The following is a 13,698-nucleotide window of genomic DNA, read 5'->3' as shown; positions in this document are numbered from 1 at the left end:
GTATATACCCAAAGGATTATAAATCATGCTGCTATAAAGACACATGCACACGTATGTTTATTGCGGCACTATTCACAATAGCAAAGACTTGGAACCAACCCAAATGTCCATCAATGATAGACTGGATTAAGAAAATGTGGCACATATACACCATGGAATACTATGCAGCCATAAAAAAGAATGAGTTCATGTCCTTTGTAGGGACACGGATGAAGCTGGAAACCATTCTGAGCAAACTATCACAAGGACAGAAAACCAAACACCGCATGTTCTCACTCATAGGTGGGAATTGAACAATGAGAACACTTGGACACAGGGTGGGGAACGTCACACACTGGGGCCTGTCGTGGGGTGGGGGAAGAGGGGAGGGATAGCATTAGGAGATATATCTAATGTAAATGATGAGTTAATGGGTGCAGCATACCAACCGGGCACATGTATACATATGTAACAAACCTGCAAATTGTGCACATGTACCCTAGAACTTAAAGTAAAATAAAAAATTAAAAAATAAAAATTTAAATTTAAATTAAAAAAAAATTGTTGGCCCGGTGCGTTGGCTCACGCCTGTAATCCCAGCACTCTGAGGGGCCAAAGTGAGCAGATCACCTGAGGTCAGGAGTTGGAGACCAGCCTGGACAACATGGTGAAACCCCATCTCTACTAAAAATACAAAAATTAGGCTGGGCGCCGCCGGTGGCTCACACCTGTAATCCCAGCACTTTGGGAGGCTGAGGCAGGTGGATCACCTGAGGTCAGGAGTTCGAAACCAGCCTGACCAACATGGTGAAACCCCATCTCTACTAAAAATATAAAAATTAGCCGGGTGTGGTAGCACACGCCTGTAATCTCAGCTACTCAGGTGGCTGAGGCAGGAGAATCGCTTGAACCCGGGAAGCGGAGGTTGCAGTGAGCCCAGATCACTCAACTGCACTCCAGCCTGGGCCAGGGAGCAAGACTCCGTTTCAAAAAAAAAAAAAAAAAAAAAAAAGGGCCAGGCGCAGTGGCTCATGCCTGTAATCCCAGCACTTTGGGAGGCTGAAGCAGGTGGATCACGAGGTCAGGAGTTTGAGACCAGCCTGACCAACATGGTGACACCCTATCTCTACTAAAAATACAAAAAAATTAGCCGGGCTTGGTGCCGTGCACCTGTAATCCCAGCTACTCAGGAGGATGAGGCAGCAGAATTGCTTGTATCCAGGAGGTGGAAGTTGCAGTAAGCCGAGATTCTGCCATCGCACTCCAGCCTGGGCGACATAGCGAGACTCTGTCTCAAAAAAAAAAAAAAAAAAAAAAAAAAAAATTAGCCAGGCGTGGTGGCGGGCGCCTATAATCCCAGCTACTCGGGAGGCTGAGGCAGGAGAATCGCTTGAACCTGGGAGGCTGAGGTTGCAGTGAGCCGAGATGGTGCCACTGCACTCCAACCTGGGCGACAGACCGAGACTCCGTCTTAAAAAAAAAAAAAAAAAAAAAGGCCGGGGTGGTGACTCACGCCTGTAATCCCAGCATTTTGGGAGGCCGAGGCAGGTAGATCACGAGGTCAGGAGATCGAGACCATCCTGGCTAACACGGTGAAACCCCGTCTCTAATAAAAATACAAAAAATCAGCCGAGCGTGGTGGTGGGTGCCTGTAGTCCCAGCTACTCGGGAGGCTGAGGCAGGAGAATGGGGTGAAGGTGGGAGGCGGAGCTTGCAGTGAGCCCAGATAGTGCCACTGCACTCCAGCCTGGGCGACAGAGCAAGACTCCGTCTCAAAAAAAAAAATAAGATAAACTAAAAATAAATAAATAAATAAATAAAATTACAAAAAAATCCAAAAAAATTTGTTTTAAAATTTTTAATGAGATGAGGTGTCACTATGTTGCCCAGGCTGGTCTTGAACTGATGAGCTCAAATGATCCTCCTGCCTTAGCCTCTCAGAGTGCTGGGATTACAGGCATGAGCCACCACACCCGGCTAATTTTTTGTATTTTTTAGTAGAGACGGGGTTTCACCGTGTTAGCCAGGATGGTCTCGATCTCCTGACCTCGTGATTCGCCTGCCTCGGCCTCACAAAGTGCTGGGATTACAGGCATGAGCCACCGCGCCCGGCCTCTGGGTGACTAAGTTTTAACATTAAGTAACTCATTAACAATTTCTAAGGCCCTTTATGTCACAACCTAAGTGAAAAGCCATTATCCTTTGCCACAAATAGAAGACACCTGTGAAAACACGACAGTTTCCTCTAGAAGGCTCCTATAAGTCCCAGTCTCTAGTTCGGAAAGTTCCAGGAGCACTGAGTGGGGAGCCCTCTCCTTTAACAGGGGGCCTCAGGATCCAGCCCACTTCAACCTCTGGCTCGGCCACCCCCTTCTTGGCATCAATCTCTCTGTCCAGACCCCTCGAAGCTCCCGATTCCACTCAGCCCCAGGTGTGGGCCGGGGCTGAACTAGGAAGACAAAGCCGCATTCAATCTCAGTCTGAGTCCAGCCCCTCGGGCCTCCCCCGGGCGGGTGGGGCAGAGGTCCCTGCAGCCTCCACCAGGAACCGGGCCCCTAGGTCTGGGAGGTCCAAGCCGGCAGCGGGCCAGGCGCTGCCCAAAGCCTGCCCAGAGGCGGCGCTGGGCCAGTCCCTTTATAATTTGCGCCCTTCCTGGTTCCACAGAGGATTGAGGAACGCCTGAAATTAGAACGCAAATGGGCCGTGCGTGGTGGCTCACGCCTGTAATCCCAGCACTTTGTGAGGCCGAGGCGGGCGGATCACAAGGTCAGGAGTTCGAGACCAGCCTGGCCAATACGGTGAAACCTCGTGTCTACTAAAAATACAAAAATTAGCCAGGTGTGGTGGCGGCCGCCTGTAGTCCCAGCTACTCGGGAGGCTGGGGCAGGGGAATCGCTTGAACCCGGGAGGCGGAGGGTGCAGTGAGCCGAGATTGCGCCACTGCACTGCAGCCTGGGCAACAGAGCGAGACTCCGTCTCAAAAACAAACAAACAAAAAACAACAAAAAACAACAACAACAAAAAAACAATGAAGGCGTGGGCCCCCATCAATATCGGGCTGGGCTGGGCGGGGCGAGGTGGCCCCTACACCACCGGGGGCAGGGCCCGTTGCTCCCGTTAGCGGCGCTCTCGGGCCGCCCCTGCCCCGGGAAGCCGGTACGGTTCTGGGCTGGTCACTGCTCTGCATCCACGAGCATCGGCCCTGATACCGCCTAGAAAGGCCCATCGTTCCCGCCTCCCGGGCCCCTGCGCGCCTCCGTCCAGAGGCCCAGAGGAAGCTCCTGAGCGGGGAAGCGCCCTGGGCGGCAGCGAAGGCAGCGGTCGCTCCCGGCTTCAACCGCCCAGTCCCCCGCGCCACCCAGAGCCCCTCACGCCCGGGAAAGAGCCCCGAGAACGTGCGAATGGGGTCGGGGTCCGCGCGCGGAGGAGATGTTGCTGAGAAGGGTACCGGGGTCCCGGAGCGCCGCCCCCGCCGCCCGCCCCCCGCCCCGGCTGCGGTCGACCTGCACTCCCACTCCAGCCTTACCTGAGGCCGACTCGCACGAGCCCACGCGGGGCTGCGGGAGCCGATCGGGATCCCGGCCGCCGGCCCCCACCCCACCCCCTCGCGGCGCCGGCGACGGCGGTGCTGCGGCCCCTTTAAATCCGGGCCGCCCCGCCCTGCGCCGTCGACTCCGCGGCGGCCCCAGATCCAGGCCCCAGATCCAGGCCGGGCCGCGGCTCTCGCCGCCCAGCCCAGCCCAGCCCGGCCCGGCCCGGCCCTGCCGCGGAGGCGAGGCCGCCAGTGTCCCGCGCCCCTGATATCTGCAGTGAGCCTGATACCTGCCTCTGCCCTTCTGAGCCTGTTCCTCTTCCCTGAGTACAGGGCACAAAGCTTGCGCCCTGAGGGGCGGCCGGCGCGCTCCCTGGCCCGGTCCCCGCCCGGCCCCGGGCCCCCCGCCCCTCCCCGACCCGGGGCCGGGGCCCCTGCCGCCGCCGCCGCCGCCTTCCGACCCCTGCGCCCCGGCCCCGGTCCCCCGGGCCATGCAGCCTCGGCCCCGCGGGCGCCCGCCGCGCACCCGAGGAGATGAGGCTCCGCAATGGCACCTTCCTGACGCTGCTGCTCTTCTGCCTGTGCGCCTTCCTCTCGCTGTCCTGGTACGCGGCACTCAGCGGCCAGAAAGGTGAGCGCGACCCCCGCCCGGCCCGCACCTGGCGCACCTGGGCGTCGGCGGCGGGAGCGGGCCCGGCGGTGGCCGCGGAAGGCGGCCGGAAGCCGACGCAGGCGCCCCTTCCCCGCCCGGGCGGCGCGAGGACGCCCCTCCCACCCTCCCCCACTTGTTTGCTGCTGGAGCCGCGGCGTTCTCCTCGGGCCCGGGCCGCGCCCGTGGGTGCTCCGGACCGGACTCCGCGGGCGCAGCTGTCCCGACGCTGAGCTGGGGACCCGTGGGGTTCTCGGAGAGGGGCAGAGACCCAAGGTCACAGAGGTCCCGGAACGCCAGCCACAGCCACCTGGGCAGGAGCTGGGGCGGCGTGAGGGACACAGGCGCGAGGGCACCCCCCCACCCTGCTGCCTGCTGCCCCGCGCCGGCCTGGGCGACCCCGGCGTGACACCCGGTCCTGGGACTCCCTTCGGCGCCCAGAACGCGTCGGCAGCATCCGGCCTGTGGGAGGGAGGGAGGGAGGGAGGGAGGCGTCCTGAGGCAGCCCGGCCCCTGCTGCCCTGCGCTCCCGTGCGGCCCCAGCCCGTCCTCCGCACCCCGAGCTTCCCGGGCTGGCCCCCGCCCTCCGCGTGCGCCCAGCGCTCTTGCAGGCGGAGGGTGCGGGCCGATCCCCCCGCGCCGCCCCGCTGGCCGGTCTTGGCGATGGTGGGGCCGAGTAGGGCCTGAGCCCTCGGAGGCGCTCTTCCCCCGGCCTGGAGGTTCCGGGAGAGTGGCCTCCTGCCTGCCTGCCTGCTGGAGGCCTAAGCGGGCTGAGTCCAGCTGCCCCTCGGCCTCCCCGCCACCTGCTTCCCTGTTTCCCTGTCCCGGAGCGCCATCCCAGAGAGGCTGCGGAGGAGGGCGAGGGAACCTGGACCCTTCCGGACCCTCCGAGCTCCATCTACCCACGCCGAGCTCTGCCAGCACGCCCGCCTGCCGCACTTGTTCTGCCAGAGCAGAGGCCTGGGCTGGCCTTGGGGCTCCAGGGCCAGAGAGGCATCACCCAGGGACTCTGCGGGGAGCCTGCCTGACACGGGAGGGATGGCTGGGCAGAGGCCGTGCTGGCGGGGTATATTATCAAGGGCAGGCATGGCTGGGGCAGAATTCTCTGTAGGTAGGGTGTGTCACCTGGGGAAGGACATTCTGGGTCCTTGGCAGGGTGACTATAAAAGCACACTGGCATGAAGGCCTAGGTGGGGCCATATCTGAAGGGCTGGGGCATGCTCTTTGAGTCGTGGGTAGAGCCGTGAGCCCTTGCCCTTTGTCCTGAGCCAGTGTGTGCCTCCCGCAGCAGCCACATGCCCGCGGATTGATGTCAGGAGCCACCTCTGCAAGCCTGGCTTACCACAGGGAGCCAGGCTCCAGGACAGCAGAGTGAGGGAGAGGCACTGGCTCCATGGCACCCACTGTGTCTGGGGGGCATCCAGGAGGCTGGCTCTCTGAGGGCCTGGGGAACAGGAGAGCAAAGAAGGGGAGCACTTAGATTCACGAGCCCAGCCCCTAGGGGATAGAAGCCTAAGGATCCTGTGAGGTATGAGTATGGGGTGACATAGGCCTCCCTTGTCGAGGGGCTGTCACTGTTTCTGTGGTGACCCAGTAGTACCAGGTCTTTGGAGGCCTCAAGAGAAGCTGGGAATCTGGGCTCTTATGTGAACCCATCTCGTTGTCACATGTAGAAAATCTGTCTTAAACCCCTGGTGAAACCAGACGTAGCCAGTCGGAGGCCAGATTGGAACCTGGCCTCCACTTTGCAGCCAGCGGGGGTCCAGGAACTTGAGGGAAGGACCCAGGAAGTGGAATCTGCAGGGAAGGAAGGAGGTGGGCAGGGAACCAGAGAGGAAGGGCAGCAGGTGTGGGCATCATCCTGGAAACGCAAGGTCAAGCCCAGGACGGCCTCTTAGACCAACGCAAAATGGACCCTGGAGAAGGGTTTGGGGCCCAATTTCCTATCTAGCCCGTGCAGCAGCTCTGCCAGCGCTCAAACTGTGGCCCTCGGTCAAGCACCTGCTGAGGATCTGCCCAGGGAGGCAGACCCTTGGGGGCAGCCCGGGGTCTCAGCCATGCAGCGCTCCCAGCCTTCAGGCTGTCCGCCTCCCCAGGCCTGGACTTCAGCAATGATGGACACCCTTACTCCTAGGAGGTTGCAGGGTCTGGAGAGGAGGCAGACACCTGCCACACACATGCATGGTGACAGCAGACCGTTAACGGGCCTGATATCTGCCTATGCCCCTCTGAGCCTGTCCCTTTTCCCTGAGTACAAGGCACAAAGGTTGTGCCCCAGCTTGGCTCTTTAATCTTTCCCCAACCAAGAGGGAAGCAGGGGGAACTGTGGTTTGTGGGCCCCAGGATGTCCTAATGACTCGCCTCCAGGGGAGGGTGACACAGCCTCCAGGCCTCATTGCTGCTGCTCTTAACAACGTGGTCCTGAGGCAAGAAAGTGTGGCAGGGGCTCCCAGGCTGGTCCCTCTCCTCACCTGAGCTGCCTCCCCAGCTCCCGAGGGTTATAGGGTGCCAGCATGGCTTGGCAGAGCCCTGGCATAGGGCCTGGCCCATGGGGAGGCAGTCACAGAGTTGGACCCACAGTCAGAGAAGCTGAGGGCAAGGCGGGTGGAGGAGCTGGCAGGCGGGGGAGGCTGCCCAGGGCCAGGGCCTGCAGTGTGTAGGGAAATGACAGAAGGGTTGGTGTGGGCGGGAGCCCGTGGGGCCCTTTATCTCCTGGTAAACAGGACCCGGGGGAGAGGGGAGGCCCCTAGGAAGGAAGCGAGGGTAAGGCGCAGGCTGTTGCCAGGGTGATTCAGGCAGCATCACCCACCACTGCCCACCCAGCCTGTCCATCTGAGGCAGTCGTGTGGGACAGAGAAAGCCAGGGTGGGGCTCGGGGGTGGGGGTGGGCAGTGGCTGTAAGTAGGCAAGCGGGGACTGGCATCTAGGCAGGAGGGAGGCGCACCTGCAGGTGCAGGTGGCTCTGAACCCATTCCTGATGGCTCTCTAGGCCTCTGCACCTCCAGTCCCATCCCTGTGGGCGAGTGCTGCCTACACCTGGTGTCACCCAGCAATGGGTGAGCCCTGGGGATAGCCAGCTCTGCATTCAAGGGGTTAGGTTTCCAGGGTAACCGAGCCCCTGAGCCCAGCGTGGAGCCTGGCAGAGCCAGTAATCTGACTCCCCTTTCCCTCCCGCCAGGGGCTGTCCAGAGGCTCCGCTTTGCCTCAGCCTTTAGCCCCAGAGAGGCAGGGTGTGGAGGGTGGGGGCTGGCTTCTTGGGTAAGAGATGCCTCAGGGAAGATCTACCTGGCTCCCTGCTCCTTAAACCTTTCCCTCCTGCCCAGGTCCACCCCTTCCTCTTCCCTGGTCACTTGGCACTTCGACCTCCTGCCCGTTTCGGAAAGGGGTGTGCCCTGAGGTGACTGAACTTTGCCTGATCATGACCTTGATCATGCACAGGGCTGCTGGTGGGGTGAGGCCATCCCACGCAACTCTGGGGTCTGTGAAGCCACCAAGGATCAAGGAATGGAAGAGCTGCCTGAGTGTAGAGGGAGTTCGGTCAGGCTTCTTAAACTTGGAGACTTGGAAACAGAAGGCCTTGTAGGCCACATAGGTTTTCAGAGACTCGCCTGGCAGAGGCCTGGAGCGTCCTGCTGCGTGGACTGTGGGCACCGAGCCACCAGGAGGTTGTTGATCTCATTCTTGCTCACTGGTCCCTGCCAGACTGGTGGTGCCTCTCTACTGTCGGGCAGCCCCACCTCTGTGCTGCCCCATCCACCTACAGCCCTCATGCCTGGGCCCAGCTGGAGGTTCTGACAGGGGCCCCCTGGGGTGGCATGCGGACCCTTCAGGGTGCCCCAGGCGCAGCACAGGTCTCCAGAGACACAGGCACCAGGGCGTTCAGAGCTAGTCCCCTCGCTGCTGTTGACTGTCCTTGAGCAGCCCCAGGGCCGGTTTCTCAACCTCATTTGCTCACCTGAGCAATGAAGTGAGGTGGGCTCCTGGAACTGCAGCAGCCACCCCCCGGGGCCATCGTGAGGCTAAGAATCCAGTGCAGGGTGAGCAACCAGCGACCGCTACAAGGACAGTGAAGAGCTAGCACCAGGACCTTGGGTAGCCCACCCGCTGGAGGGAGCGTGTGCTGCAAAAAGCAAGAGTGGGCTTTGGAGGCCAACGGATGGAGCGGATTCAGTCTGAGGCTGTTCCAGCCCTTGCTTAGGATCCACCTACCTAGGTCTGGAAATCGTATTTCCACTTCAGATGCCTTCTCAGAGGATAAAATAACCCCCGGTGGGGGAGAGTACTGGAAGAGGGCTAATTCCCCTGGTTTTCTCCCCATGAGCATTAGTGTCAGTGTAATTTTAGAGTGACCCCAGCTATGTCACGTGTGGCAGGCACAAGAACAGATGTCAATGAGCTATTGCAGAGGTGGACACCCAGATGTGTGCGCTGGCACACTGGAGGGGCCCGTAGGGTGGCTCTAGACCGCCCCCTCGTGACGGCTTGCCTACCACCTGCAGGCGACGTTGTGGACGTTTACCAGCGGGAGTTCCTGGCGCTGCGCGATCGGTTGCACGCAGCTGAGCAGGAGAGCCTCAAGCGCTCCAAGGAGCTCAACCTGGTGCTGGACGAGATCAAGAGGGCCGTGTCAGAAAGGCAGGCGCTGCGAGACGGAGACGGCAATCGCACCTGGGGCCGCCTAACAGGTGAGGTCTGGGGCGGGAGGGGGAAAAGGCGGGGGCGGGCTGGTTGTAGGTTCCCTGGTCTCAGTCCCGATCCTTCCCGACCCACCCAGAGGACCCCCGATTGAAGCCGTGGAACGGCTCACACCGGCACGTGCTGCACCTGCCCACCGTCTTCCATCACCTGCCACACCTGCTGGCCAAGGAGAGCAGTCTGCAGCCCGCGGTGCGCGTGGGCCAGGGCCGCACCGGAGGTATGGGCGCAGACAGGGAGGAGCACGGGGTGGGGGGACGGGTGGCCCCCGCACCCTTTCCAGCGTCGGGCCTCCGTCCCCCATAGTGTCGGTGGTGATGGGCATCCCGAGCGTGCGGCGCGAGGTGCACTCGTACCTGACTGACACTCTGCACTCGCTCATCTCCGAGCTGAGCCCGCAGGAGAAGGAGGACTCGGTCATCGTGGTGCTGATCGCCGAGGCGAGTGAGCCGGGACGCGGGGTTGGGGGACATTCAGAGGAGCCCCCGCGGTGCAGAACTGACAGCAGGAACCATTCCGAGGAGAAAGCTGTCGGAAGTTCAGTTGCTAGTTTCATTCGCAAATGCTCCGAGATAGAAAGTTGAAAGGGCTTTCTGGCACCCTCTACCCCTACCCATCGCCCCCGCCACCCCCTAGTCCTTGGCCATGCGAGTCCCAAAGGGAAAGGGCCGTCTCTGGGGGCCCCCTTACTCCGCCCTCAGCACAGCAGGCTCACTCCCTCCACGTGGGGGGCATCTGAAGCCTGTGCCCCTTCTCCAAGCCCTTCCAGGCCTTTTGGGGCAGCAGCAGGGCTAAGGGAGGGTGCTTGGTCTCCCCACAGACTGACTCACAGTACACTTCGGCAGTGACAGAGAACATCAAGGCCTTGTGAGTACTGGCGACCCCAGAGAGCTGGTGGCGGGAGAGCTCGGTGCGGGGTGTTGTGCTGGCAGGTTCCTGCCTCCCCATGAGATAGTGCCTTTCCTATCTCGTGGGGAGGCAGGGACCTGGTGGGGGAGGGGTGGGTGTGCAGAAGTGGCCCAGCCCCTCTGGAGCTCTGCTACCTCAGTTGGCTGGGTGTAGGGGGTGGTGGGGGGCTGGCACTGGGTGAGCCTCAAGAAAGGGCCACAGTCTGGTGGGCTCGGCCCCTCTCAGCCCCTGGAGGCTGCATACGGACTAGGCCTTCCCGTCCCCCAGGTTCCCCACGGAGATCCATTCTGGGCTCCTGGAGGTCATCTCACCCTCCCCCCACTTCTACCCTGACTTCTCCCGCCTCCGAGAGTCCTTTGGGGACCCCAAGGAGAGAGTCAGGTACTAGTTACTCCCCCATACCCTCAGCAACCCGCCTGCCTGTGCTGAGAACCCATCTACTGGTGTTTGAGTCCAGGGTGTTTCCCTGCAGTGCCCTGAATTCTCCATGGGAGGACCCGTGCATGGGGGTGGGGGGACAGAAGCTGCCCACCCAGCGGCTTCTCTGCGGAGCCACAATGGAGGTGGAGGGGTCTGAACTTCTGAGGCCCCGCCCCGGCCCACAGGTGGAGGACCAAACAGAACCTCGATTACTGCTTCCTCATGATGTACGCGCAGTCCAAAGGCATCTACTACGTGCAGGTCAGCCCCAAGCCCTGCGTTGCCCTGCCCTGCCCTGCGCCGCCCTGCCCTGCGATGGGTCTGGTCCATCTGGGTGCCCTTCCTCAGCCCCAGCCCCTCTCTGCTCACCTCGCAGCTGGAGGATGACATCGTGGCCAAGCCCAACTACCTGAGCACCATGAAGAACTTTGCACTGCAGCAGCCTTCAGAGGACTGGATGATCCTGGAGTTCTCCCAGCTGGGCTTCATTGGTGTGCCCCTCCCCTTACCTGACGGTGCCTTTCAGTCCCACCTGCCTCTGCCATCCTCTCTCCCAGTCCCACTGTGTCCACTGTGAGCCTTTGCCCAGGTGGGCCCTGCCTGGTGTGCGTGCTACAGCCCCACCTGGCCTGTTCTCATTGCCTGTGCATCAGACATGTCTGCCCTCATCACCTGTCTGCCTCCCTGCCCCGTTATGCCCACACCTGCCTGAAGCCTGCCCCTGGGTTTGCTGTGGGACTCGGGGGCCGCTGCAGGGAGAAAGGAAGTAGGCAGAGCAGCACTGCCCACTCAGGCCCCTCCCCACCAGGTAAGATGTTCAAGTCGCTGGACCTGAGCCTGATTGTAGAGTTCATTCTCATGTTCTACCGGGACAAGCCCATCGACTGGCTCCTGGACCATATTCTGTGGGTGAAAGTCTGCAACCCCGAGAAGGATGCGGTGAGCAAGAGCTGGCGGGACTGGCAGGGGCAGGGCCAAGGGGCAGGCAGCCTCCACCCCAAACTGTGTCCCTGTCCTTGCATCTGCTCACATAGAGCACTGTCAGCTGTGGGAGGGCCCTGGTAGTCCCCAGGAGAGGCCGTGTTGAGGAAGGAGGGCTAAGCCGAGCCCTGGGGTGTTGCCCACCCTCCACAGAAGCACTGTGACCGGCAGAAAGCCAACCTGCGGATCCGCTTCAAACCGTCCCTCTTCCAGCACGTGGGCACTCACTCCTCGCTGGCTGGCAAGATCCAGAAACTGAAGGTGGGCTGCACTGCACGCTCTCCCTAGGCCGGGATCAAGGTCGGGGCCCACGCCATCACTGCTGTCCCTCCTCCGCTGCAGGACAAAGACTTTGGAAAGCAGGCGCTGCGGAAGGAGCATGTGAACCCGCCAGCAGAGGTGAGCACGAGCCTGAAGACATACCAGCACTTCACCCTGGAGAAAGCCTACCTGCGCGAGGACTTCTTCTGGGCCTTCACCCCTGCCGCGGGGGACTTCATCCGCTTCCGCTTCTTCCAACCTCTAAGACTGGAGCGGTCAGTGCCAGCACCATGGGTCTGCGATGGGGGCGGGGCTGGGTGGCCCCCAGGGTGTAGGCTTCACCGGCAAGTTATCCTCACGTTCTTCAGTTTCCGCATCTGAAGTGGGCCTCGTAATGGTAGCTACCTTGTGAGGACTAAGTCAGGCAGCCCCTAGGAGCTCAGGGATGTTTCCTGTCACCATCCTCCCAGAGGAAGGCCCTGGTCTCTTTGCACAGCCTGACAGCTGCCTGGGGGGCCCTCCTGGCGCAGGCCTGGCCTTTCTCTGCTGGGCCCTGGGTGCTGTGCTGGAACGCTGCCCCTGCAGCAGCTCACAGGCCTGCCTGGCTGCAGGTTCTTCTTCCGCAGTGGGAACATCGAGCACCCGGAGGACAAGCTCTTCAACACGTCTGTGGAGGTGCTGCCCTTCGACGTAAGTTCGGTGGGTGTGGTGTGCACTGAAGCCGGGCCTCCTGTGACCACCTGCCTCAGCCCTTGATTCTGCCCCCAGAACCCTCAGTCAGACAAGGAGGCCCTGCAGGAGGGCCGCACCGCCACCCTCCGGTACCCTCGGAGCCCCGACGGCTACCTCCAGATCGGTGGGTAGGGTTTGGGGGAGAGCGTGGGCTGGGGTTCAGGGACACCCTCTCACCACTGCCCTCCCACAGGCTCCTTCTACAAGGGAGTGGCAGAGGGAGAGGTGGACCCAGCCTTCGGCCCTCTGGAAGCACTGCGCCTCTCGATCCAGACGGACTCCCCTGTGTGGGTGATTCTGAGCGAGGTGAGGCTGGGCAGGGCCAGGCCAGGCACGGGGAGCAGCCAGGGAGACCCTGGCGGAGCTCAGAGGCCCTGCTGACCCTGGGTCCGGCTCTTCCAGATCTTCCTGAAAAAGGCCGACTAAGCTGCGGGCTTCTGAGGGTACCCTGTGGCCAGCCCTGAAGCCCACATTTCTGGGGGTGTCGTCACTGCCGTCCCCGGAGGGCCAGATACGGCCCCGCCCAAAGGGTTCTGCCTGGCGTCGGGCTTGGGCCGGCCTGGGGTCCGCCGCTGGCCCGGAGGCCCTAGGAGCTGGTGCTGCCCCCGCCCGCCGGGCCGCGGAGGAGGCAGGCGGCCCCCACACTGTGCCTGAGGCCCGGAACCGTTCGCACCCGGCCTGCCCCAGTCAGGCCGTTTTAGAAGAGCTTTTACTTGGGCGCCCGCCGTCTCTGGCGCGAACACTGGAATGCATATACTACTTTATGTGCTGTGTTTTTTATTCTTGGATACATTTGATTTTTTCACGTAAGTCCACATATACTTCTATAAGAGCGTGACTTGTAATAAAGGGTTAATGAAGTGTGTGCCTCAAATGTGAGCGCCCTGGGCATCTCCCTCTGCCCCTGCGGTTGGCTTCATTTGGTCTGTGCCCCAACATGCCAACTAAGCCTGGCACTGGGCCTCCCCAGCCAGCATCAGCAGCGACCTTTCCCTGCTAAGTCAAGGAGCCAGCCTGGCCTGCAGGCGCGGGGTCCAGCCCCTGGCTGTGCAGCTGCAGTGCCACCTCGGCGCCAGCGTACCCCCCTTCCTAGGATCAGGCCGCAAAGTCTGTCACTGGTGAAACCAGCTCAGAATCTGGGACCACAATGCCTATAGCAGGTCCCCCGAATGTCTCCCCCATGTCCAAGGCCTGCGATGAGGCCTTCCCTTAGCTCCTCAAGCTGAAGGCATTTCCCAGCCTCCTTGTTCCCCTCCGTGTGTCTCAGCTTGGTCCTCATCCTGGGTCCCCGACACTCCTCTGGCACATTAGGGTCTCCCGCTCACCTCAGGGCCTTTGCACACACTGTTGCCCCTCCTTGGAAAGCTCTCCTTTCTCCGTTTCTCCTGCATACTTGGCTAAAAGTCACTTCTTTGTTTCTGTGGGCCTCCCCTGGATCCCCAAGGCTTCTGGACATTTCCTTGAGACCGCCTGTCACTGACTCACTTCGTTCCCATGGTGCCCGCAGCTCTGCGGACCTCGGAGGGCTGCCCTGAACACC

General features: G+C 61.3%; 2 protein-coding genes and 1 non-coding gene across 6 annotated transcripts in view, besides 8 other annotated features; 2 read left to right on the top strand and 1 right to left on the bottom strand.

Annotated features, from left to right (window-relative positions):
* SQSTM1 (sequestosome 1) overlaps positions 1-4,236 on the bottom strand; it is a 31,686-nt gene extending 27,450 nt beyond the window's left edge. Inside the window, exon 1 of one of the 2 annotated variants that reach the window (NM_001142298.2) lies at positions 4,038-4,236. The gene's annotated coding sequence lies outside the window, so the exon portion shown is untranslated. Of the gene's footprint in view, positions 1-3,505; positions 3,621-4,037 lie in introns of those variants that run through there. The other variant, NM_001142299.2, reaches the window with a different exon arrangement.
* Positions 3,019-3,188: a silencer, noted in NCBI's record as "silent region_16744". NCBI's record gives its function as "represses an Ori minimal core promoter by ATAC-STARR-seq in GM12878 lymphoblastoid cells {active_cell/tissue: GM12878}" and the evidence as "EXISTENCE:reporter gene assay evidence [ECO:0000049][PMID:35858748]".
* Positions 3,359-3,918: a silencer, noted in NCBI's record as "silent region_16743". NCBI's record gives its function as "represses an Ori minimal core promoter by ATAC-STARR-seq in GM12878 lymphoblastoid cells {active_cell/tissue: GM12878}" and the evidence as "EXISTENCE:reporter gene assay evidence [ECO:0000049][PMID:35858748]".
* MGAT4B (alpha-1,3-mannosyl-glycoprotein 4-beta-N-acetylglucosaminyltransferase B) lies at positions 3,763-13,032 on the top strand. 3 transcript variants are annotated; one of them, NM_014275.5, is made up of 15 exons: positions 3,763-4,142; positions 8,660-8,845; positions 8,935-9,075; positions 9,162-9,295; positions 9,676-9,722; positions 10,032-10,145; positions 10,370-10,445; positions 10,561-10,675; positions 10,993-11,123; positions 11,319-11,426; positions 11,508-11,701; positions 12,038-12,116; positions 12,195-12,282; positions 12,352-12,464; positions 12,561-13,019. In NM_014275.5, the coding sequence occupies exons 1-15, from the start codon at positions 4,046-4,048 to the stop codon at positions 12,582-12,584; spliced, it is 1,647 nt and encodes a 548-aa protein (NP_055090.1). In that variant the 5' UTR covers positions 3,763-4,045; the 3' UTR covers positions 12,585-13,019. The 3 variants fall into 3 exon arrangements, with proteins under 3 accessions (NP_055090.1, XP_024310117.1, NP_463459.1); XM_024454349.2 differs by lacking the exon at positions 3,763-4,142 and adding an exon at positions 4,295-7,825; NM_054013.3 differs by lacking the exon at positions 3,763-4,142 and having other exon boundaries at positions 7,754-8,845; positions 12,561-13,032.
* Positions 3,946-4,607: an enhancer, noted in NCBI's record as "H3K27ac hESC enhancer chr5:179233022-179233683 (GRCh37/hg19 assembly coordinates)". NCBI's record gives its function as "activates a minimal SCP1, AML or CMV promoter by ChIP-STARR-seq in primed H9 embryonic stem cells {active_cell/tissue: H9 hESC(primed)}" and the evidence as "EXISTENCE:reporter gene assay evidence [ECO:0000049][PMID:30033119]".
* Positions 3,946-4,908: a biological region, named in NCBI's record as "H3K27ac hESC enhancer GRCh37_chr5:179233022-179233683".
* Positions 4,149-4,218: a silencer, noted in NCBI's record as "silent region_16742". NCBI's record gives its function as "represses an Ori minimal core promoter by ATAC-STARR-seq in GM12878 lymphoblastoid cells {active_cell/tissue: GM12878}" and the evidence as "EXISTENCE:reporter gene assay evidence [ECO:0000049][PMID:35858748]".
* Positions 4,349-4,478: a silencer, noted in NCBI's record as "silent region_16741". NCBI's record gives its function as "represses an Ori minimal core promoter by ATAC-STARR-seq in GM12878 lymphoblastoid cells {active_cell/tissue: GM12878}" and the evidence as "EXISTENCE:reporter gene assay evidence [ECO:0000049][PMID:35858748]".
* Positions 4,489-4,908: a silencer, noted in NCBI's record as "silent region_16740". NCBI's record gives its function as "represses an Ori minimal core promoter by ATAC-STARR-seq in GM12878 lymphoblastoid cells {active_cell/tissue: GM12878}" and the evidence as "EXISTENCE:reporter gene assay evidence [ECO:0000049][PMID:35858748]".
* Positions 8,680-8,749: a silencer, noted in NCBI's record as "silent region_16739". NCBI's record gives its function as "represses an Ori minimal core promoter by ATAC-STARR-seq in GM12878 lymphoblastoid cells {active_cell/tissue: GM12878}" and the evidence as "EXISTENCE:reporter gene assay evidence [ECO:0000049][PMID:35858748]".
* Positions 12,283-12,351, top strand: MIR1229 (microRNA 1229). The gene has a single exon (NR_031598.1). It is a non-coding gene; the product is annotated as a microRNA 1229 (primary transcript).

The sequence above is a fragment of the Homo sapiens genome, chromosome 5 (genome assembly GCF_000001405.40).
Source record: "Homo sapiens chromosome 5, GRCh38.p14 Primary Assembly".
NCBI lineage: Eukaryota > Metazoa > Chordata > Mammalia > Primates > Hominidae > Homo > Homo sapiens.
Note: the sequence above shows the minus strand (reverse complement) of the source record. Positions and strands in the feature narration are given on the sequence as shown.